This window comes from Homo sapiens, chromosome 11 (assembly GCF_000001405.40).
Source record: "Homo sapiens chromosome 11, GRCh38.p14 Primary Assembly".
Classification (NCBI taxonomy): Eukaryota; Metazoa; Chordata; class Mammalia; order Primates; family Hominidae; genus Homo; species Homo sapiens.
In genome coordinates, this window is record NC_000011.10 from 25,729,927 (window position 1) to 25,755,441 (window position 25,515).

The 25,515-nt window shown below is 34.2% G+C and overlaps 1 long non-coding RNA gene across 3 annotated transcripts in view; it reads left to right on the forward strand.

Annotated features, from left to right (window-relative positions):
- LINC02699 (long intergenic non-protein coding RNA 2699) overlaps positions 1–25,515 on the forward strand; it is a 470,852-nt gene that overhangs the window by 276,327 nt on the left and 169,010 nt on the right. The window contains exon 1 of one of the 3 annotated variants that reach the window (NR_183692.1): positions 4,825–4,943. The exons of the other annotated variants lie outside the window; for them this stretch is intronic. This is a non-coding gene — a long non-coding RNA (long intergenic non-protein coding RNA 2699). Of the gene's footprint in view, positions 1–4,824; positions 4,944–25,515 lie in introns of those variants that run through there. 3 annotated transcript variants of the gene reach the window in all.

Consider the following 25,515-nt stretch of genomic DNA (forward strand, 5'->3'; position numbering starts at 1 on the left):
GTGGATAATTCTAGATCCACTTTTGGTTACTATGAGACTCAAGTGTCTTGGAAACTTCAAGGAATGACCTTGGAAAAGTCAGCTTGGCTTCCTTCTTTTCATAGGAAAATGGCAATAAAAAAGAAAGTACTTGCTCACACAAAAGAGACATAGGGTGTTTTCCAGGGACTTGTAGTCCTAGAGTCCACACAAAGCAAGAATTGTCTTTGCTCACCACTGCAGGGCAAATTACAGTGATTTTGCCAACCCTGACAATCAAAATCCCTATAAAAAGTGAAAGATAAGAAGTCACTGATATTCCAACATCTATAGATCCACTGTTGAGATTTTAGTGCATTTAATTTAAATCCTTTCTCTGTAGTATATGTGTGTTGTGGGATGCAGGGGGTGAGTGGCTTACATCAACTTTTGATAAAGTCATGGCCATATTGTTGGTGTAACTTCACATTCTGCTTATTTCACTATAAACCTTGTTTGTAACATAAACCTATTAACAAAAATAATTGCAATGCTGGCAGTTTTGGGTAGAGTAAGTAATATCTTATCCTCATCCATTGTAAGGTTCATAGCTGACACCCATATAATGAAAGAGAGTTCTACAAAAGAATATCGTAACAAATATATTCAGTCAAAGTTTTATATGACATGAGAGCCCTCAGAAATGAAGACCCAAAGATCCAGGGAAAACTGTACGGTGTGTGTGTGTATGTGTATACATATATATATGTGTATATGAAATACGCACACATACACATGTATATGTGTGTTTCCAACAGATTTGTATACACAGTGTACATAACTTTCAAATAATAATGTCATAAATAATGCAAGGATTTGGTGCTAACAAATCTACACTACACAAAATAATAAATAAAGCTTGTCAGGGGAACAACATAAAAAGGAAAATCAGACTTTCAGAAGTAAAAACAAATGTGTAGATATAATATGTTTTCTATTTATTTCTTTAAAATACATACTAATAAATAAAAAAATATGACATTGTCTTGTCAATTTTACAGCATATGTAGATATAGTGCATATAAGAAACATGCCACAAAGAATAGAGAGTATCTGTATTAATCTGTTTTCACATTGCTATGAAGATACTATGTGAGACTGGGTAATTTATACACAAAAAAGATATATCGACTCACAGTTCCACATGACTGAGAGGCCTCAGGTAACTTATAATTATGGTGGAAGGGGAAGCAGGCACACCTTACATGGCAGCAGGACAGAGAGAGGTACAAACGGGAAATGCCAGATGCTCATAAAATCATTAGACCTCATGAGAACTCACTCACTATCATCAGAACAGCATGGGACAAACCACCCCCATAATCCAATCACTTCCCAACCAAATCTCTCCCTAAACACCTGGGGATTAGAATTCAAGATGAGATTTGGGTGGGAACACAAAGCCTAACCATATTAGTATGTAAGTGCATTTTCAAAGATTTTACATTTGAGGTAAAGTGGTATTATTATATATTAATTATAAATAGATTGCAAAAATTTAGGAAAATACATCTTCATTCCTAGAACAACCACTAAAATAAAATGAATTAATTAAAGTAAAATAAAATAAAACAATGCAAACAGGCATTGAGTAAAATTTAACAGAAAAATTAAAATGCAGTTATAAGTAATATTTACTTGACCCAAAGACAAGAATAATGGAGATGTAACAGGGGTCAGATTTGGACAGATTTCATGTACAGTGAGACAAACTTTGGATTCATCATGAGGATCATGGAGAGCTCCCACAGTGAGAGCTGTAGAATTTCTCTCTAGGAATTAACACACACCTGAGCACCTGACCACCCCTAGAGGCTTCACTTTCTATTTCATTGAATTGACGACTCAGGAGAATAAACAACCACCATACTACTTGAGTGGGTTGCTCTGAGAATCTTCCCTGTCCTGTCTCCTTCCAACACAGGAAGAACAGTCATTTTTTCATTTCAATTGCAATGGCTGTTTGGCTGGATTTGATTTGCCCTTTAGGAGAATTTAGGTCCTGAATGAAAAGTAGATTAATGAGACATTAAAGTGAGATGAAAACAGTCTAATTAGAAAATTATTTTAGAATCAAAATAGAAATCCAGAGAGCCTGAATTATAGCACCAGCAATGGTGTTAGAAAAAAGGAAGGATAGAACACCAAATCCTAATCCCATTCTTCACAGAATTAGAAAAAAACTACTTTAAAATTCAAAGGAAGCCAAAAAAGAGCCTATATAGCCAAGACAATACTAAGCAAAAAGAACAAAGCTGGAAGCATCATGCTACCTGACTTCAAACTATACTACAAGTCTACAGTAACTAAAACAGCATGGTATTGGTACAGGGACAGAGACATAGACCAATGAAACAGAATAGAGAACTCAGAAACAAGACCACACATCTATAACCATCTGGTCTTTGACAAATCTGACAAAAACAAACAATGGGGAATAAATTCCCTATTAAATAAATGGTGCTGGGAGAACTGGCTAGCCACATGCAGAAAACTGAATCTGGACCCCTTCCTCACACCTTTTGCAAAAATTAACTCAAGATGGATTAAAGACTTAAACATAACAACCAAAACTATAAAAACATAGAAGAAAATCTAGGCAATACAATTTAGGACATAGGAACAGGTAAAGATTTCATGATTAAAACACCAAAAGCAATTGCAATGAAAGCAAAAATTGACAATTGGGATATAATGAAACCCAAGAGCTTCTGCACAGCAAGAGAAACTATCAACAGAGTGAACAGACACCTTATAGAATGACAGAAAATTTTTGTAATCTATCCATCTAACAAAGGTCTAATATCTGGAATCTACATGGAACTTAAACAAATTTACAAGAAAAAAACAAGCCCATTAAAAAGTAGCAAAGGACATGAACAGACACTTCTCAAAAGAAGACATTTATGCAACCAACAGGCATATGAAAAAAAGCTCAACATCACTGATAATTAGAGACATGCAAATCAAAACCACAATGAGATACTATCTCATGCCAGTCAGAATGGCAATTATTTAAAAGTAAGGAAACAACTGATGCTGGTGAGGCTGTGAAGAAATAGGAATGCTTTTACACTGTTGTTGGGAATGTAAATTAGTTCAACCATTGTGGAAGACAGTGTGGGAATTGCTCAAAGATCTAGAAGCAGAAATACCATTTGACCCAGCAATCCCATTACTGGGTATATACCAAAAGGAATATAAATTATTCTATTATAAAGATACATGCACACATGTGTTTATTGCAGCACTATTCACGATAGTAAAGACATGGAATCAACCCAAATGCCCATCAATGATAGACTGGATACAGAAAATGTGGTACATATACACCATGGAATACCATGCAGCCATAAAAAGAAATGAGATAATGTCCTTTGCAGGGACATGGATAAAGCTGGAAGCCACTAGCCTCAGCAAACTAATGCAGGAACAGAAAACCAACACCACATGTTCTCACTTATAAGTGGGAAAAAAACACATGAACAATGCGAACACATATACACAAGGAGGGGGAACAACACACATTACATTGATGCCTGACAGAGGAGGGTGGGAGGAAGGAGTCCATCAGGAAAAAAAAATGCATTCTGGGCTTAATACATAGGTGATGGGTTGACAGATGCAACAAACCACCATGGCACATGTTTACTATGTAACGATCCTATATATCCTGCACATGTATCCCGGAGCTTAAAATAAAATTAAAATAAAATAAAATAAAGGGGGAAAAAAGAGTAGAAGGAAGGAATATCATTAAATTTGAGGATAATAGAACTTGTCATACATAGTGACTGACTGGGTTTAGGATTATGATGGGAGATAGGGGAGTTGAAATAACTTTCAGGGGCATAATTGTGTGGTTCATCTAACATTATAAAATTCTTCAATAAAATTCTTGAACTTTAGTGGGAAGGAATATTTTCCTGAGGAGCTAGTTAAAAATTATTTTATGAACTCCACTCACCTCCAGAAATTCTAAAGGATTCTGGCTCAGGTTGAGAAATATTGCCCTCTGGAGTTTAAAGTGGTATTTATAGGCAATTTTCAAATCCAATGTTACAAATATTTCCTGAATGTGAATTGTGATTTCAGCATTGCATACGTAATTCTGGCTCTGATTACTGCCAGCATTTTTTTTCAAATACATACGTAGATTTTTTTAATCTTGCCAAGAAAATGGGTAAATAATGAAGCTCTTAGATAATTACAAAATACAAAACACATTGAAATGTCAAAGAGAGTGTCTATAAATAATGAAATTCACTACTGTCCCTAGCTCAAATGATAATGGTTTTTTCTAAACACATTTTCCTGGCCTATAGTTACTGGGCACAATAAAAGGTGTGAAAACATTTTGGCATCCTTAACACCATTTATAAACTATTTCTTTCTAAGAAAATAATACAAATTGTCTGAATATCTAAGTATTTATTCGACTTTCTGTTGTGTTTTTGTGTACTTTCCAAAATATGTAAGTCAGCCAGGTAGAAACAAACCTCTACCTAGATTAAAACGAAAATTTTAGTTGGTCAGTATCTGCTGTTTCTGAATGCCACATCATCCAGTTGTTACTCTTTAATTATTATATAAGAATATAACACTAACATTATTTAAAGATTTTATTTTTAGGTATAGCAGTATAGTGTAGTCTAGTATTAGAGATGTGCAAATCATGTTTAAAGTTAACAGAAAATTACACATGTAAGAAAAATAACTAATCCATAGTTTTGTTTGTTTGTCTGTTTGTTTTTTTCCTGAAACACTCTGTGAGTGCTGATGGAACTCTGGTGTCAAATATCTTCTAGAATACAAAGAACATTCCATCATCATGATGCACTGTTATGGCGCCCTCTATAGGCAACCCAGCTCTTCTAATTTAAAAGTTGCTGCATTTGTGATGATTTTCATCTTGACTGGGGATGGTAAGTTCAGAAAAAAAAAAAAAAAAAAAGATAAATGTTAAAAGACAGAAGCCTCTCTCAGATACAATTTAAATAGACTGGAAGTCTCATGAAGCTCTGAACTATACAGGTCATTGCCATTAAAGAGGTAGTATAGAGTTTCTAAGTGACTCAGAAAATTCCCTTTGCTCAACTACTAGGCAAGGGAACTGACCCTAGAGAGGACTGTTAGGGGCTGAATGGTATCCTACAAAATTCATATATTGGAGTCCTAAATCCAGTTCCTCAAAATGTCACTGTATTTGGAGATAAGACCTTTAAAGAGCTAATCATATCAACGTGAGGTTACTGGAGTGGGTGCTAATCCAATTATGACTGGCATTCTTATAAGAAGACTAGATGAGGACACAGACTTTCATAGATGAAAGACTGTGCTTTGACACAGAGAGAAGGTAGCCATCTGCAACTAACACATTGACATAACCTCTAGGCTTCATAGTTGTCATTTAAACAGGTAGAGTATGTTTCCAAGGAAGCATTGACTTTGTAGTTCCCTTTTGAATTGCTGGAAATTTGATGTGATTTATCTAATTAAGATTATATGTCAGTGCCCTTAAAGCCTTTTTTTGGCCAATTCTGTCTAGGCAGTGAGTCAAGGATGCTTATTGCTTGACATGCTAAAACAGAAAGGTCATCCTTCCATTTTTTTATTGTAATTAGTACACTTACAATGTCTTTCATGTCCAGGGAATAATCCTGTATATTTTGAAAACCAAATCAGTTCTGGAATTTAAGAGCTATTATTGCACTGTACTTTCATCAAAAAGCAAGTATCCAAGAAAATCAACTTCATTTTTTTTTTGTACTGGAGAATATATCCTCGAGATATGACCAGAGTCTTTGAATCCCAAATTGAAAGGCTTGATGTGACAAAGGAATTTTTTTTCAATATGAGCTATGAATTCATTTGGATTGAAATTTTACAAATAGATAAATACAAAATCAATTTTGGTTTATCAAATGAATTACCATTACTGAAAAGAAAAAAATCCTAGAAAATTGGAATTATGGGGAAATCTCAAGACATACATTGGCTGAAACTTTAGAGAGAAGTTTAATAGCTTAGATTTACAGAGAGAATTTTAAATAAGAAAAGAAAAATTGCTTCAGAAGAATACAGAAATCTCTCCTTCTACCTTATGACTGACTCAGGTTTCCCAGGCATGTCAGCTCCAGGCAAGGATGCAGGTTTTGATGAATGAAAAAGCCCAGTTGAGATGACATAAGAAAATTTATAAATGATTTCCCACACACAAAAAAGTCTGTAATAGATTCTCAAATTGGGAATAAGAAGCCATAGGGAGTTTTTTAGAAGGATTAAGAGAAAGCCACCTTTTAGATAGCTCTGCCCAGTCCTTGGTGAATCATATTGATTATTATACACAGAATCCAGAGGACAGAGAAATCTCCCAGCAAAGGTAGTCTAGGTAAAAGACCTTGAATCCATTCCTCATGAAAAAGAGAAAGAAAAAAGGATCTGGCATTTTGCAATACCCACTCAGCAGCCATTTACCTGATACCTGGTTATTTTAAAATAACTTTGAGTTTGTGTGGTTTTACTAATAGTCTTCAACAGTATCCTAAAATGGAAACATAGCAGCCCAGAACAGAGTCAACATTATGTAAGAACCCATGGCCTATTCATATAGAAGAGAATTAGAGAGACAAGTATAAAGCAAAGAAAATAAAATTTGGGAGGAGGGCACAACAGAAATCACTTCCTGAGGCTTGCACGGGGCTTTACTAGCATCCAGATAATAAGAACATGAAAGTCTTCCAGATCCCTTCTATAAAGTTTTTTTCAGTAGTCAACTGTATCATTGTTAATGTTTTACATGTAATCTCATGCCAAACTAGCAATTAGTAAATTTTATAAATCTATTTGTTGTGAATATAAATTTCAAAAGTTAGAAACTTCTCTAGGTATTATTAGATGTATATATTCAGGTCAAGTTTACATGTATATCAAGAATCTGGTTCCTACAGTTGCTAACTTGGATTACTAGGTTTTCTTCAAGAACACTTTGTTAAACTGTTCATGTGTGCTATTTTTCACAAGTTAAGTACTCAGAAAACAAAACATAAAGGTGGTGGCTATTGGCCTTTGGTCTACAGTCAAGAAAAGTGTCAAAGGAGCAACAAGTAATTTTACATTGTACTTGGTAACAATTTCTAATGAGCTTGGGAAAATTAGGGATGGAAATATAAGGAAGTAACAAATTAAGTGGAAATTACCAAGTTTATAGAATGAAGAGTAGGTGTTAGAACACAAGAGAAAGTTAAAGTATGTTTAAGGAAGAAGCAGATCTCAAAATGCAGAGTTGAAAGCCGTCGTGTATCTAAGCCATAGATAGTACACAGAACTCTGAGTTGTAAAAGTAAACAGCGGCATGTTTGAACAGAGCCAAAGGCTGAGGTTATATTATTTGGAAAATTCAATAATATGCTGAATGGGGAGTCTTGAAGGGTACAAAGTGGGGGAGGATTAGCAACTAATTTGTAGGTTGGCAAGACTATTTGAGCCAAAAGAGCAAGATAAATGAAAATCTGTTCAGAAGTATAGTCAAATCAGCAACCACAGTACCAGTTTCAATATTCATCTTAAAATACATTTCTTTTTGCATCCTCAGCTCTTTAAGTGTGGGTAATGATGTTATTTTTATTATTACAATCACTTCTATTTTTAACATCATTGAAGTATAATTTACACAATAAATGCATCCATTTTACATATACCATTTGATGAATTTTGACAAATATGTACATCTATGTACACTTTACCCATTTTTTATGAACCATATTTCCATCACTCATAAAATTATCTCATGCTCCTTAGCAGGCATTTGGCAGAGCTATGTATTCCCTTTGGGAAATAGCTTTACAAGCTTTAAATAATGCCATATACAAGAGAAAATATTTTAATTTAAATGAAATAAAATTAGTCTTTTTTACTTCTTTTACATTTTATAATATTTGTACCTGGTCAAAAATATAATAAAACACCTTCTGTATTTTCTTCTGGAAAGTTTATAATTATAATTTTTATATTTTGTTCTGGCCCATTTATGGATATTTATATCTGGAAAGGTAATATGGGACATGATGATAAAATATTTTAAATGCAAATTCAAAAATAATTTCTATACATTTTGTAATTTAATGTTAATTGATCTAGTTAAAGAATGTAGAGTCATTGAAAATAGCTACATTTAACTCTATTTTTAAAAAACTAATCTGACAGGTCTCTTTATACTTTTTTTTTTTTTTTACTGTTGCGTTGTAGGAGTTTCTTTGAAAGTTATCACCTTATCAGATGTTTGCAATTTACTCTTATTCCATAGGTTATCTTTTCACTGTTGATTGTTTTTCTTGCTAAAGAGAGCTGCTATTGTTGTTATTGTCAAGTTATTTATTTTACTCTTTAAAGCTTCATTATTTTCAATTATTACAGTCCTCTAATAGCTGTATATATTTATAGGTATGTGTGATGCTTTAGTATGTAATCACACCAGGGTAACTGGAGTATCCATTACCTCAAGCATTTGTCATTTATGTTAGAAAAATTCCAATTCCACTCTTTAAGTTATTTTAAAATATACAATAAATTATTATTGAATATAGTCACCATATTGTATTATCAAATACTAGATTTTATCATTTCCATCTAATTATATTTTTACACTTATTAACCATTCCCAATTTTACTTTCTTTCCATGACCCTTCCCAGCCTATGGTAACCATCATTCTACTCTCCATCTGAGTTCAATAATTTTAATTTTTAGGTCCCACATATGCTTTCAGCATGTGAAATTTGTCTTTCTGTGTCTCGCTTATTTCACTTAACGTAATGTCCTCGAGTTCCATTCATGTTATTTGCAAATGACAGAATTTCATTCTTTTTATGTTTGAATAATATTCCATTGTGTATATGTACTACCTTTTCTTTATTCATTCATCTGTTGATGGACATTTAGGTTGATCCCAAATCTTGGTTATTGTGAATAGTGATGCAATAAATATGGCAGTGCTGCTATCTCCTCAGTATACTCAGTATGTATATATACAGTATAATTTTCTTTATTTTTAATACATACTTACCAGTAAAATTGCTAGATTATTCATGAATTGCAAGAGCCAATATTGTTTAAATGTCTATATTACCAAAAGTAATCTACAGATTAAATGCAATTCCTGTCAAAATACCAATGACAGTTTTCATGGGAATAGAAATAATAATCCTAAAATTTTGTGGAACCACAAAAAATAGAAGAATAGCTAAAATCATCCCGAGTGGGGGAAAACTGAAGGAATCACATTCTCTTACTTCAAATTATACTACGGAGCATTAATAACCAAAGCAACATGGAACTGTCATAAAAACAGTTTCATATACCAATGGAACTAAATGTAGAATTCAGAAATAAATCCACACACTTATAGGAAACTCATTTTTAACAAAGGTGCTAAAAACATGCACTGGGGAATGGATGGCATCTTCAGTAAATGGTGCTGGGGAAACTGAACACATCTAGGCCCCTATCTCTCATCATATACAGAAATCAGATCAAATGGATAAAATTCAAGACCTCAAACTGTGAAATTACTAAAAGAAAACATTGGGGAAACTCTTCAGGACGTTGGTCTAGGCAAAGATATCTTCAGTAATATCTCAAAAGCACAGGCAACCAAAGCAACCAAATGATCAAATGGAATCACATCAAACTAAAAATCTTCTGCATGGCAAAGGAAACAGTCAATAAAATTAAAAGAAAACCCACAGAATGGGAGAAAATATTTGCAAATTACCCATCTGACAAGGGATTAAAAACCAGAATATATAAGGTGCTCAAATAACTCAATAGGAAAAAATTAAATCCGATTTTTAAAATGGGAAAAAAGATCTGAATAGACATTTCTCAAAAAACACATACAAATTGCCAACAGGTATATGAACAAATTGTTCAACATCACTAGACATCAGAGAACTGTTAGAAAACAACTATGAGATATCCTCTCACCCTAATTAAAATGGCTTTTATCCAAAAGACAGACAATAATGAATGCTGATAAGGACGTGGAGTCCAAAAGACAGACAATAATGAATGCTGGTAAGGATGTGGAAAAAGGGAAACCCTCTTACCCTGTTGGTGGGAATGTACAATAGTGCAGCCACTATGGATAACAGTATGGAGGTCCTTCAAAAATTAAAAATAGAACAAGCATATGATCCAGTAATCCCACTGCTAGGTATATATTCAAAAGAGAAGACATCAGCATATTAAACAGATTTCTGCAGAACTTTAAAATTAAGCGTGCACGCACACACACACACACACACACACACACGGTTCTACTTGTCTATGTTTGCTTTTACGTTCGCTATGTTATATGGTGTCATAGCCAAGATATTATTGTAAATAGACTGTGATAAAGATTTTCCCCTATGTGTTTTTCCAGAATTTTACAGTTTAAGGTTTTACATTTAAGTCTTCAGTACATTTTGACTCTAGTTTTGTGTTTTGTGTAAGATAAGGCCCACTTTTATCTGTTCACATGTGATCTTCAGGTTTTTCCAGCATCATTTGTTAGACTATTCTTACCTCCATGGTGATTCTTGGCGCCATTGTCAAAGGCCAGCTGACTGTATATGTGTAAGTTTATTTCTGGGCTTTATTCTACTCATTAGTCTATATGCCTGTTCTTATGTCTCTGATAAACTATTTTAATTATTGTAGCTTTGTGGTATGTTAGAAAATCAGAAAGCATGACGCAGATTTGTTCTTTTTTTCTCAAGATCGATTTAGCTACTAGGGGTATTCATAAGAGTTTTACGTGATTTTTTCCTTTTTTTTTTTTTTTTTGAGACGGAGTCTCGCTCTGTCGCCCAGGCTGGAGTGCAGTGGCGCGATCTCGGCTTAATGCAAGCTGCGCCTCCCGGGTTCACGCCATTCTCCTGCTTCAGCCTCCAGAGTAGCTGAGACTACAGGTGCCCACCACTATGCACGGCTAATTTTTTTGTATTTTAGTAGAGACGGGGTTTCACCGTGTTAGCCAGGATGGTCTCGATCTCCTGACCTCATGATCCGCCCGCCTCGGCCTCCCAAAGTGCTGAGATTACAGGCGTGAGCCACCGCTCCCGACCCTACTTTTTCCATTTCTAAAAAAAATGGATTTCTACAGAGATTGCATTGAATTTGTAGATCATTTTGGGTGATATGAACATTTTAATGGGAGTAAAGTTGAAGGTGAGGAAACCATTTAAGAAGTTAGCTATTGGGGGTCTTCATTTAGCTACTAGGGGTCTTCATATGGTTCTATATGAGTTTTATGTTGTTTTTTTCTATTTCTGCAAAACATTATATAGGGATTGCATTGAATTTATAGATCACATTGGGTGGTATAAACATTTTAGTGGGAGTAAAGCTGAAGGTGAGACAACAACTTAAGAAGTTCCTTCCACAGTCCATGGCAGTGAGTAACCAATGACACAACTTTTGCCTTGGGTATTTAAACAAAGAGGGAATGATCTATAGATGCCTGATTTTTCTTTATATGATACAATAAAAGAACAAGAAAGGATAATGTCCTTGTGTACCGATGCTAAGCTTCCGTCCTAAGAGTTATAGTTGTAGTAGGTAAGCTAATTGACCAGGTGGCCGGCAGTAAAGGAAGAACTAATGCAAAAGTGAGTTAAACAATCAGGGGCCAGTGTCAAAACCACAGAGGGAAAATTTCTTTAGATATGAGGAACAAGTGAAATGTTGAAGGATGACGAATTAAAGCGAATTAGTATGGAACAAGGTAGGAATAATAGTTGAGGTATAAAGGGATCAGTTGGTCCAAATTTCATTCCTGAAGGGACCTTGAATACTAGGCACAATAGGCATTGGGTTCTTATGTGCATGTTGTAGTCCGAGTTGAAGGTAGAGTTTTAGGTATAATCACTATAAACAGTATGACAAATTATCACCAAGATTAAAAATAGAACTTCCATATTATCTAGCACTCCCACTTCTGGTTATGTATCTAAAAGAAATAAAATCATTACCTCGAAAAGATAATTTCACTCATATTTATTGTACTTTTCACAATAGCCAAGATATGGAAACAACCTAAGTGGCATTCAACAGATGAATAGATAAAGAAAACAGAGTAAATACATATGACAGAATATCATCTATCTTTCAAAAAGAAGGAAATTATGGCATTTGTGACAATATAGATGAATCTGGAGGACATTAAGCTAAGTAAGACAAGCCAGATGCAGAAAGACAAATGCTGCATAATCTCACTTATATTTGAAATTTTAGAAAAAGACAAATTCATAACAGAGAGTAGAATAGTGATTGTCAGGGGCTGGAGGAGGGGGTGGTCATTTAATATCCTTTAACCATTAGCCTTAATAACCTATGAGTATTATCAAATTTCATGTTCGACTCTATTAAAAATAATGGTTATGAGACTGAGAAATAATTGGCTGGATGAGATAGGGACAATAGGAGAATTTAAAATATTGAGTTCTGTCAAATTTGATGTGGCTTTGCCTTTTGTAGATTGAAAGCAAAATTCCACATTACACTCTCCAAACTTCCATATCAGCATTATACCCCTTCTATAGTCAATCTCACATTATTTCTCTGTTAAATAACTAAAATTGTTGCATTTATAAGCACTTAAGCTGGGATTCCAATCAAAAGAAAAAAAGTTAAAACAGAAATAAAACATTCTATGTGAAAGCCTGCAAGCTCAAAGACAACTAAGCTCCAAAGGGCAAGAAATAATTTGAAAATAGTTTGAGCCTCGGGAGACATTCTTTCCTTTACATACTAAAAAATTAATCTAATTATGTTATAAATAACCAAACATGTAAACACAAGCAGTGATTATCTTAGGCCAATAATAAAGTGGTTTGGACAGACTGCATCATAATGAAAAAATATACCCATGGGCCTATTTTCCAAAGGTCCAAAATCTAAACTTGTGTTTTACACTTAGTGAGATTTCCATGCTGTGTAGAGTTTATTGCACTTATCTTTATCAAGTCTGCTAATTTTAGCCTGCTGATAATTTACACATGATTTTGCTGACAACTTGAAAATTCTGAATGTGTGTTAGATATGAAATTCTAATAATTGTTCCCTTTTGGTATAGCACTGGCTTCCACTGTGAATAAACTGCTATTTCTTACAGGTAGGTCAACAATGGGCTGAAAATGAGTTATTCCTAAATTGTTCCTACCAATTAAAATTAGATTGGTAATTTTTTGCACCATTATTAAGAATTTTTTTTTTTTAGCTATAGGAAAAGTGAAAAATAAGAAGGGTTGGTGATAGCTTACGAACTTTGTGGTTTTGGGATGTATACTGTAACTGAGGGAAAATAAAGGTGATGGACACTATTTAAGTCAAACTTTTCAATGTGCTGACATTTGAAATATTTATATTTTGATTAGTGGTTATGTCACCCAGACAAACAGTATAGCCTGAAAGTGGATTAAAAATAAACGGAGAAGACACTATTTCCTGTAGATTTGCAAACAGAAATTCAAGAATTTAAGTAGAACTAGCCGGGCCTGGTGGCGGACACCTGTAGTCCCAGCTACTTGGGAGGCTGAGGCAGGAGAATGGTGTGAACCTGGGAGGTGGAGCTTGCAGTGAGCCGAGATCATGCCACTGCACTCCAGCCTGGGTGACAGAGCGAGACTCGGTCTCGAAAAAGAAAAAAAAAAGAATTTAAGTAGAACAAAGAAGAATAAAACATTTTTACCAAATAATGGATGAGGAAGAAGTCAAAATTATGAACTATTAAACATGGAAATGGCAGCATTTTTTGTCTAGATGAAGAAGATCAGGTGTTGAAATTTTATTCTGTGAAATGTCCTTGCTTATTTTATAACATGAATATATTTCTTAACCACCTGATCCTCATATCTAAGATGTAGAGTTTAATGTTTATCATAAAAATCTCATTCATTTGATACTTACAAAAGTAAATGAGGTGAACTATGAAAAACTGTTGTGGAAATCTAGACAGTACTAAGCTCATAATAGCTTCTAAGAGCTCACATCAAGACTAGAGGAAAAGTGGTCATGGAAAAACTTTGTTTTTCTTCAGTTCCCTTAACATTATCTGAGTTGTCATCCTTTTGAAATCACAGAGGTGGGAAGTAGCATAGCAGAAAATAAAAACTACAGTAGAAGAAGAAAATTTGAGCCAGAGGTAATGAGGAGAAATATAATCACCTTCAAAACTTCCTAAAATATTGAGGGTAGGAAAGTAGGAATTGTGATGGGATGAGGATTTGGTTATACATTTAAGCCATTCTTTCTCTCTTAGGTTAAGGTAGTAACTACTTATATTAAGCACTCATTAGGCCAATCCTTGAATAATATATAATCTATTGTGCTGCCAAAGATTTAAGCAACTATTCAAATATGCCAGAGTGAAAATAGTGGCTTCAGTAAACAAACACCACTAGCTCATATAAAAGCATGTCTTATCTGACCATGATTCGTTGTTTTAAAGTAACTTCATATCTTATCCAGGGAGAAGGGATAGTGTTTGAATATATTTCACTTAGGAGAATCAACAGCTCTATGAAATTCTCAAACTACTCACAGGCTTATTAATATTGTTATTAGTCTACTTTAAGAATAAGTATTGAGTGTATGCTAACATTAAGCATTATATGAATAACGTTTTATTTTAAGAATGCTTAATGTTAGCATGCACTTAATATTTAGGAGTGTAGAAAAAGCTTTCTTCTACTTTCATCTTTTTCCCATGATAGGGTTTGCTATCCTCATTTTACATATGAGGAAATTCAGGCTCCTAATGGTGAGATGACTTGTCCAAGGCTATGCAAATAATGGCATAAAAGCAGGATTAACACCTGGGTGTTTTAACCTATATTATTCTACAAACATTGTTCACTCTTTTCCATCACTTGATTTCATTTGTGCTATAATTTCACTAATGGTAGGTGTCTGATTTTACCAAAGTTGTTGCTCTAATTTTTCTGTAATTATGATTATTTCCATACAGTCTACTCTTGATATTGGGGACGTATGGAGAGATAATTTCATAGAATATTGTGAGTTAGAAATCCCAAATACAAGTAAAATATATAGTTTTTCTTAAAAGACAGTGAAGTCTAAGAAAAAAAGTAAAATCTGTCTACATAAAACAAGAATTACTGTATAAAGAAAACAAAAGTTTACTGCATGTGGACACTCTGTGGTCTGCTAAAGGGGTTATCAATCTGCCTGGCTGTGTTTCTGTTTCAAGTTCACTACAAATAAATAAAATACATATAATGGGCTATATTCTTCGCTACTAATTTCACATGATGTTGTCATTCAGCTCATGTTTGGATACTACTACTTTTCTAATGATTTCTGTCTCTCATTAAATTCATCTGAATATAATATAAATATATATATATTTATATATTAAGTTGATGCTCATCTTTGTTCTTCTGAATTCCCTTCCAAGTCAACTTTTCTATTTTGGTCTAAAAATAAATAATTCATTAGACAATATGTAAATCCATATTGTATTATTTTTATATGTCCAATTAATTTATTTATTTTTGGTTTTATCAAAAGAGAAAGGCATTAGAACATCCCACAGAAATCAAGGGAAATTTGAATGTGTACCTTTAGAGGTGTGTGATCCAGGATGGTTTCAGAGATCTTGAGATGGTGTAACTATATTTTGGGATTATCATATTTACTTAGGTATAATTTACACAAAATAAAATTCACTATTTGTGGGTGTATAATACAATGTGTTCTGATAAATATATACAATTGCTTAATCATCCACTATATACAACAATTTCATCACCCCAAAGATTCCCTTGCCACAGCGCTGCAATCACTGACCAGCTTTCTATCCTCGTGAATTCGATTCTATTAAATGTCATGTGATGAAATCACATATGATTCAGTATTTTGTGTCTACTATCGGTTAGCATAATGCTTGTAAGAATCTATAAGTTGTTGTCTGTATCAGTAGTTCAGGGTTTTTATTGCTAATTAGCATTCATTGTATAACATAGCATAAATTCTTTTTTTTTCTTTTTCTTTTCTTTTTTTTTTTTTTCTTTTGAGACAGCATCTCTGTTACCCAGGCTGGAGTGCAGTGGCGCAATCTTGGCTCACTGCCAATTCCGTCTTCTGGGCTCAAGAGATCCTTGGGGCTCAAGGAATCCTCCTGCCTCAGCCCCCTTAGTAGCTGGGAGTACAGTCATATGCCATCACACCCAGCTAATTTTTGTTTTCTTTTGTTTTGAGGGGGGGTTATTTTTATGTTTTGGTAGAGATGGGGCATAATTTATTTGTCCATTCACCTTTCATGAACATTCTGGTTATTTTCAGATTATTGCTGTTATAATAAAGCAGCTGTGGACACTTGAATACAAGTCTTTGTGTCTACTTGTGTTTTTATTAATTTTGAGTAGATACCTACAGGGGAAATTTCTGGATCATATTGTATATTTATTTAAAATTTAAAATAGTTTTTAAATTATTTTCCAAGGTTGCCATACTATGTTGTATTATCAGCAGCAATATATGAGAGTTCCTCTCAATCTTCCCCAACATATGGTGATTTCAGTAATTTTTAATTTATTCAAACCAATAGGTGTGTCATAGTGTGTTATCATGGTCCTAATGAACATTTTCCTGAAACCTGATGATCTTGGACATTTTTCAGATGTTTATTTGCCATCTTATATTGTTTCAGATAAGGGTCCAATCAAATATTTTGCCCATTCTTTTATTTAGTTGTTTCTCATTATTAAACTACAAATGTCTGTGCATGTGTGTGTGTGCAAATGTCCATGTTTGTATGTGCGGTGTGTGTACATGTATTTGCTGGAATGTATTATACTATAAATATGGATATTTTATAAATGTGTAGTACGATATATCACATATTTATACTGTAAGTATGTAAAGTGTACTATATAATTTCTCACATAAATGGTACATACATCACATATATTTTCATAGCATGGTGATTTCCTATTCATTTAAGTCTAATTATCAAAGTTTCTTATTTTATGTTTTCATGTTTGCTTTTTGTGTCTTATTTAAGAAATATGGAATTAATGTATAGTCACTATAATTTCAATTCTATTTTTTAAAGGTTTTCCTTTTGACTCTGACAGTTATTTTATTCTTTATTGAAGAAGAATAATAAATTTCCCCACACTATTGTTAAAAATGTTAGTATTAGAGACACAACCAAAAAAGACAATTTTAGACCAATATCCCTGATGAACATTGATGCAAAAATCCTCAATAAAATCCTGGCAAACTGAATCCAGCAGCACATCAAAAAGCTTATCCACCATGATCAAGTGGGCTTCATCCCTGGGATGCAAGGTAGGTTCAACATACGCAAATCAATAAATGTAATCCAGCATATAAACAGAACCAAAGACAAAAACCACATGATTATCTCAATAGATGCAGAAAAGGCCTTTGATAAAATTCAACAACCTTCACGCTAAAAACTCTCAATAAATTAGGTATTGATGGGACGTATCTCAAAATAATAAGAGCTATCTATGACAAACCCAAAACCAATATCATACTGAATGGGCAAAAACTGGAAGCATTCCCTTTGACAACTGGCACAAGACAGGGATGCCCTCTCTCACCACTCCTATTCAACATAGTGTTGGAAGTTCTGGCCAGGGAAATTAGGCAGGCTAAGGAAATAAAGGGTATTCAATTAGGAAAGAGGAAGTCAAATTGTCCCTGTTTGCAGATGACATGATTGTATATCTAGAAAACCCCATTGTCTCAGCCCAAAATCTCCTTAAGCTGATAAGCAACTTCAGCAAAGTCTCAGGATACAAAATCAATGTACAAAAATCACTAGCATTCTTATACACCAATAACAGACAAACAGAGAGCCAAATCCTGAGTGAACTCCCATTCACAATTGCTTCAAAGAGAATAAAATACCTAGGAATCCAACTTACAAGGGACATGAAGGACCTCTTCAAGGAGAACTACAAACCACTGCTCAATGAAATAAAAGAGGATACAAACAAATGGAAGAACATTCCATGCTCATTGGTAGGAAGAATCAATATCGTGAAAATGGCCATACTGCCCAAAGTAATTTATAGATTCAATGCCATCCCCATCAAGCTACCAATGACTTTCTTCACAGAATTGGAAAAAACTACTTTAAAGTTCATATGGAACCAAAAAAGAGCCCGCATCACCAAGTCAATCCTAAGCCAAAAGAACAAAGCTGGAGGCATCATGCTACCTGACTTCAAACTACACTACAAGTCTACAGTAACCAAAACAGCATGGTACTGGTACCAAAACAGAGATATAGATCAAGGGAACAGAACAGAGCCCTCAGAAATAATGCCACATATCTACAACCATCTGATCTTCGGCAAACCTGACAAAAACAAGCAATGGGGAAAGGATTCCCTATTTAATAAATGGTGCTGGGAAAACTGGCTAGCCATATGTAGAAAGCTGAAACTGGATCCCTTCCTTACACCTTATACAAAAATTAATTCAAGATGGATTAAGACTTACATGTTAGACCTAAAACCATAAAAACCCTAGAAGAAAACCTAGGCAATAGCATTCAGGACATAGGCGTGGGCAAGGACTTCATGTCTAAAACACCAAAAGCAATGGCAACAAAAGCCAAAATTGACAAATGGGATCTAATTAAACTAAAGAGCTTCTGCACAGCAAAAGAAACTACCATCAGAGTGAACAGGCAACCTACAAAATGGGAGAAAATTTTCGCAACCTACTCATCTGACAAAGGGCTAATATCCAGAATCTACAATGAACTCCCACAAATTTACAAGAAAAAAACAAACAACCCCATCAAAAAGTGGGCAAAGGATATGAACAGACGTCTCTCAAAAGAAGACATTTATGCAGCCAAAAATCGCATGAAAAAATGCTCATCATCACTGGCCATCAGAGAAATGCAAATCAAAAGCACAATGAGATACCATCTCACACCTGTTAGAATGGCGATCATTAAAAAGTCAGGAAACAACAGGTGCTGGAGAGGATGTAGAGAAATAGGAACACTTTTACACTGTTGGTGGGACTGTAAACTAGTTCAACCGTTGTGGAAGTCAGTGTGGCAATTCCTCAGGGATCTAGAACTAGAAATACCATTTGACCCAGCCATCCCATTACTGGGTATATACCCAAAGGACTATAAATCATGCTGCTATAAAGACACATGCACACGTATGTTTATTGTGGCACTATTCACAACAGCAAAGACTTGGAACCAACCCAAATGTCCAACAATGATAGACTGGATTAAGAAAATGTGGCACATATACACCATGGAATACTATGCAGCCATAAAGAATGAAGAGTTCATGTCGTTTGTAGGGACATGGATGAAACTGGAAACCATCATTCTCAGCAAACTATCGCAAGGACAAAAAACCAAACACCGCATGTTGTCACTCATAGGTAGGAATTGAACAATGAGAACACATGGACACAGGAAGGGGAACATCACACTCCGGGGACTGTTGTGGGGTGGGGGGAGGGGGGAGGGATAGCATTAGGAGATATACCTAATGCTAAATGACGAGTTAATGGGTGCAGCACACCAACATGCACATGTATACATATGTAACTAACCTGCACATTGTGCACATGTACCCTAAAACTTAAAGTATACTAATAATAAAATAAAGAGTTAGTATTTATTTTTCATTGATTTGTTCCGTCATCCATGTTAATAATTGGTCACATATATGTGTATCTACTTCTGAACACTATTTCATTGATCTATATGTCTATTCTGTATAAATATTACACTTCCTTGATTATAATAGCTTTATAGTAAATCTTGTATTTATGTGCTGTTGGTACTTGAAATTTGTTCTTTTTTTTGCAAAATACTTTGACTAGTTTAATTCATTTACATTTAAATGTAAACTTTGGAATCACCTTGTTAATGTCTATAAAAATCTCCATTGGAAGTTGATTTCACATTGATTGAATTTATAGATTCAAAAAGAAAAACTATTTTAAAAAAGTAATTGACTCTGTTATGTTCATCAGTGTTAGGTTTATAGAAAAACTGAGTGGAAATTACAGAGACTTCTCAAATCCTACCTTAACACCCTCTTCCTTTGGCCTCAATCTCTCTATCCCGTTCTTAATTGTCCCTATGGTTAACATCTTGCGTTAGTGTGGTGCATATGTTAAAACTGATGAGCCAATATTGAAACATTATTATTAACTAAAGTCCATAGTTTACATTAGGGTTCACTCATTGTGTTGTACGTTATATAGGCTTTTCCAAATATAAATTGACATGTATCCACCATTAGAGTATGATATGAAGTAGTTTCACTGCCCTAAAAATCCTATGCTTCACCTATTCATCCATTCCTCCCTCCCCCAGAACCTCTGGTAATCCCTGATGTTTTTACTGTCTTCTTGGTTTTGCCTTTGTAGAATGTCTTAAAATTAAAATCATACAGTGTGTAGTCTTTCCATATTGACTTATTTCACTTAGCCATATACATTTAAGTTTCTTTGTTTTTTCATGGCTTGACAGCTCATTTCTTTTTATAACTGAATAATATTCCATTGTGTGAATGTACCATAGCTTGTTAATTCCTATGATTTTAATAATTATTATAGTTCTATTGAGCACAGTATAAGTTTCTATTTATTGAGGCTTTATAAAATTGTACACAGCAATAACTTCTATTTTTTGTGTAAATATTTTGGGCGACTATTTAAAATGTTTATGCCTAAGGTCATTTTTATTGTACTGTGAAGGGTACGTTTTTCTTTTTTTGTGGAGGGCATTTTAATCACTATTTATGATTAGTTTTTAGTTATAATCACTATTTATGGCAATGCCATCAATGAGTAAATACAGCTATACTTTTTTCATTTTAATATGCATGCTTTCTATTTATTTTTCTTGATTTATGGAATTGGCTGGGACCATGAATATAATGTTGAAATAAAGTGATAAGAGAAGACATCATTGCTATATTGCCAATCTTAGGATGAAAACAGTCTTTCAACATTTTGATGTTAGCTATAGGTTTTCCACAGATGCTCTTCATCAGATTGAGGAAATTCCCCTTTATTCCTTGGTTTAAAAAAGTTTTTATCATTGAAGGATAGTAAACTTTTTTTCAAATGCTTTCTATACCTTTACTAATATATTTATTTTAATACAGTGAATTATTTTTATTGGTATTTGAATGTTAACACCTCTTTCTTTCCTGGGATAAATTCTACTTGACTCATTTGATCATGAGTATTTTTTATATATATTACTAAATATTGATTTCCTAAAATTTACTTAAGGGTGTTTGTGTCTGTGTTCATGAGAGGTAGTAGCCTGTAAGTTGTTTTTCACATCTTACTCTTAAGGGAACACCGGTGGTGGGGAGTAGAATTTTGTAGGGCTAGCAGGGTGGTGAGCATTCTCCAATGTTCTCATTAACGTGAGTTGAAAGCCATCTCTGTGTTCCTGGATTTTGAAGTGTTGCCTTCACATGTGCTTCTATTCCTCCTATATATGTAGCATGGATCTAATAAGTATTTCTGTCTCTCTCTCTCTTGGGATAGTAATGTCCTTTTCCCCCTCCCCGAGCTGCAATGTGTTCCTGGATTTTGAAGTGTTGCCTTCACATGTGCTTCTATTCCTCCTCTATATGTAGCATGGATCTAATAAGTATTTCTGTCTCTCTCTCTTGGGATAGTAATGTCCTTTTCCCCCTCCCCGAGCTGCAGTGGGTTTCCATCAGTACCTTCAAGATGACACCTTTTATTGCTCTGCCACATGCAGAATAAGGCATTTGCTTTGTAGTGATGTAGCGGAAATAGATCCTGGCAGAGTTTTAGCAATGCCTGCTGTTCTCTCCCAGAGTCACCATGAGAATATCTTTTCCAAGATTCTCCCTGTTCTTCTCTATGAGCACTGGTAGAGTTTGTAGAGAAACACATGTAAGAGGGCATAAACCCAACCTCATGCTAACCCACAACTAGTTATCAGCAATTCATTAAAATTTGTTACCTATATCTTCCTACAAGCTTATGAGGCAGCAAGCAGCATCTTTCCTAGGTGAGCAGATTCTCAGTTGCTGTTTCTTCCACAAGACACCTGTTTCTTTACAAATTGAAGATTTATTTGAATACTGTGAAAATTCAGTTTTGTGTTGAATTCAGAAGCATTGTGAATTTTCAGTTTGTCCATGATGATTTCTGTGAATTGATGCAATTTTAGCATGCAATTACCGTGTGTGTGTGCAGTGTTTTTAAAAAAGAATGAAAAAACAAAACATGGTCTCTGACAAATGATTATTTTCCCAATGCTTATTTCCCTGAATAACAATTCTATTGGATACTTGTAACACTGTAGTTCACTTAGGCAGTCTCAAAATTGAGAGTTTTAAACTTTAAATTGCAAATTTTTAGAAAAAGTGAGGATTAGTTGGTCTGTTTCTAATATACAAAACCCATAGGATAATATTTTGGTGGGTGAGTAGGTGGTGTGGGTTTTCCAGGTATATTGCAGAATGCGTAGAAATAAAAGGCCACTGTGCTTGGCATTTATCCTTTGCTGTTTAGGTCCTCTCTCCACCTTTCACCATCTCCTTTGCTCCAGAATGTGGCCTTTATGGATCATATCATTTGAGTTCCTTAGCATTCAGATTCTGGTGCAGTTAGACCAAAGGGGATATCAGCAGGAGATTAGCAGGTGGGAGAAAAGCAAGATAGAAAGTACAATGGTGTTTACCATAGGCTGGGGGCAGAAAGGGAGATGTTGATCAAAGGGTACAAAATTGTAGTTAGAGGGAGGAATGAGTTCTGGTGATCTGTGGCATATCATGGTGACTATAGTTAATAATAGTATATTATCCAATTTGAATATGAAGTTTACTTAAAAATATCAATGGTCCAATTCCAGAGCTTGCATTATTTTGTATATTCCTCAATATATTTAAAATTTTAATTTGTAACCTCTGTATGTTAGCATATTGCTATTAATTAAATGGATAAAACATCATGTTAGGTCTACATCTAAGTAACTTAACATTTCTGAAGAGAACACATCATTTATTTGACTCCCTGACAAAAATATACCAAACAGAAAACAAAATTAGTACTTACTTGTTCACATCTTAATTAATGTAAACTTTCTGTGTCCAAACATACACCTTACTTTCTCTAATTCCTTATAATTTCCAATGTTTCAGCAGGAATTGATGAAAGAATTGAAGAGTTGAAAAAATATACTAAAACCAGTGATTTCTCATTACTGCTACCATTACAGCCTCTTTCAAGCCACCATCAGCTTCCACCTGGACTGCTGCAATAACTAATACCCTCGCCCCAATCGTAACCTACCTCATACTGGCCAGAATCACAACTGGACTAGACAGGATTAGGCCACTGGTAAATTCTTAGATGGAAATTCCCACAGCTCCTCCTTTTATTCTCTCTGATCTGGCATGTAGTCTTCTTGAAGTTTGGAACACATCAAGCTTAGTTCTGCTAAGGGGTTCAGGCTGGACTACCTGCCCCCAGGGCTTTTCATGATTTGCTCAAATTCTCCCTCTTTAGATAGAACTTTTCTTCTTAAAATGCTTAAAGTGAAAGCATTCCCTTCATCATTCTATACTCTCTGTACCTTATCTATGTATTTTCCAGGATTCATGTGGTACTAGTAATTTAGTTACTGATTTCTTTATTGCCTCTGCTCCCCACAAAATATATGTTTTTTGTAAATCAGTAACTTGATCTTATTTACTTCTTCACCATCCTCAGTCTCTAGGTAATGCCTGACATTTTGTTATAACTAAATGTTAATGTTATAAGTAATTTACTTCACCTCATTCGACAGTGAGAATTTAAAATGCATTTCTTGTCTCTGAGTGGTGAGTATTGAATGTTTATTTATAAAACTGAGAAAAACAAAGACGTGTCCAGGATCTATGAGATTATGTATGTAAAAGTAAAAAAAATAGCAACTTTTAAAATATTTCTTAATATTCTTAGTCTCATCTCTTAGGCCTCTAGCCCATAATTATACCATAAGATACATAGCTCTAGGTATTTTATTAATCTAGTTTCTATCAGAAACTAGACTGCTTTGAATATAAACACCAAACATTTTTTGTCTAGTTAATGCTATATAAAATTTGAATTTTCTTTTAAAATTAGAAATGAAAGCTAATACAAAATAGAGCTCTCTCTGTGCTCCTCATTTTCTATTATTGTAGTAGTTTTTTTCCCTGGTATTTTTAAATTTTAGAAAACATAATTTTAACAATGAATATTTATCTCACCATTAGACAATCTTATGATACATAAATTACTAACAGAAGATTTAAATTTAACAGTTTAATCATTTGCATAATTTTTTACAGCCTTGTATTAAATTACTATCATAAATGACTATAGTTCACCTAATAAACAGCATTAACTATGACTTTCAAAGTTAACTGTATAATAAATTGGCTTCATTTTGTAATTAATGAAAACAAAATATTGTAGTAGCTAACATATTAGTTGATAATAATTAAGGAAGCTTCAAGCTACAAAGAACAGAATAGGACTCATTAAGCTAGACAAATTTGGGTAGAATCTTGTATTTCAATTTCATAAGGTTTTAAATTTTTCCTCATCTTCACTTTTTCACACAAAATGATGGTTTGTGGTAAGTTTTTTTGGTTTGAGTAGGTTTTGCTTTTTAAAAATAATATTGCAAGAAATCCTGGCAAAATAATCTTAGCAAGGACTCATATAGATCTTAGTAAAATAGGCAAATAAACAAATATTAACAAATAAATAATTTATAATGTTATTAAAGCTGATAATATAAATGAAGCAATATAGTTTTAAAAAAATGAGGTGACATAGAAATTGTAAATTTTTTGGCATATTAAATAATTAACACTGCAGCTTTCTTTGGGGCTGCAAGATTCCTTTTTTTTTTTCTTTTTTTTGAGATGATGGAGCCTTTCTCTGTCGCCCAGGCTGGAGTGTGGTGGTGCCATCTCGGCTCACTGTAACCTCCGCCTCCTGGGTTCAAGCAATTCTCCTGCCTCAGCCTCCCGAGTAGCTGAGATTATAGGTGTGCACCAGCATGCCCGGTTAATTTTTGTAATTTTAGTAGAGACAGGGTTTCATCATGTTGGCCATGCTGGTTTTGAACTCCTGACCTCAGGTGATCTGCCTGCCTCACCCTCCCAAAGAGCTGGGATTGCAGGTGTGAGCCACTGCACCCGGCCTGCAAGCTTCTTTTGACCTAACTTGGAATGCTCATAATGTCACTTCCAGTGTATCAAATATCAAAAGAATTTACTAAAGTAGGTGAAAATGCAAGGAGAGGAAAGATAAATTTTATCTCTTTGTAGGGGGTAATGTCTAATAATTTTCTGCCATCTTCAATCTGTCATAATTATGAAAAACAATAACTTTTGCATTGAGTAATATAGCTTGTTTAAGTATGTCTCAAAGCATTCCT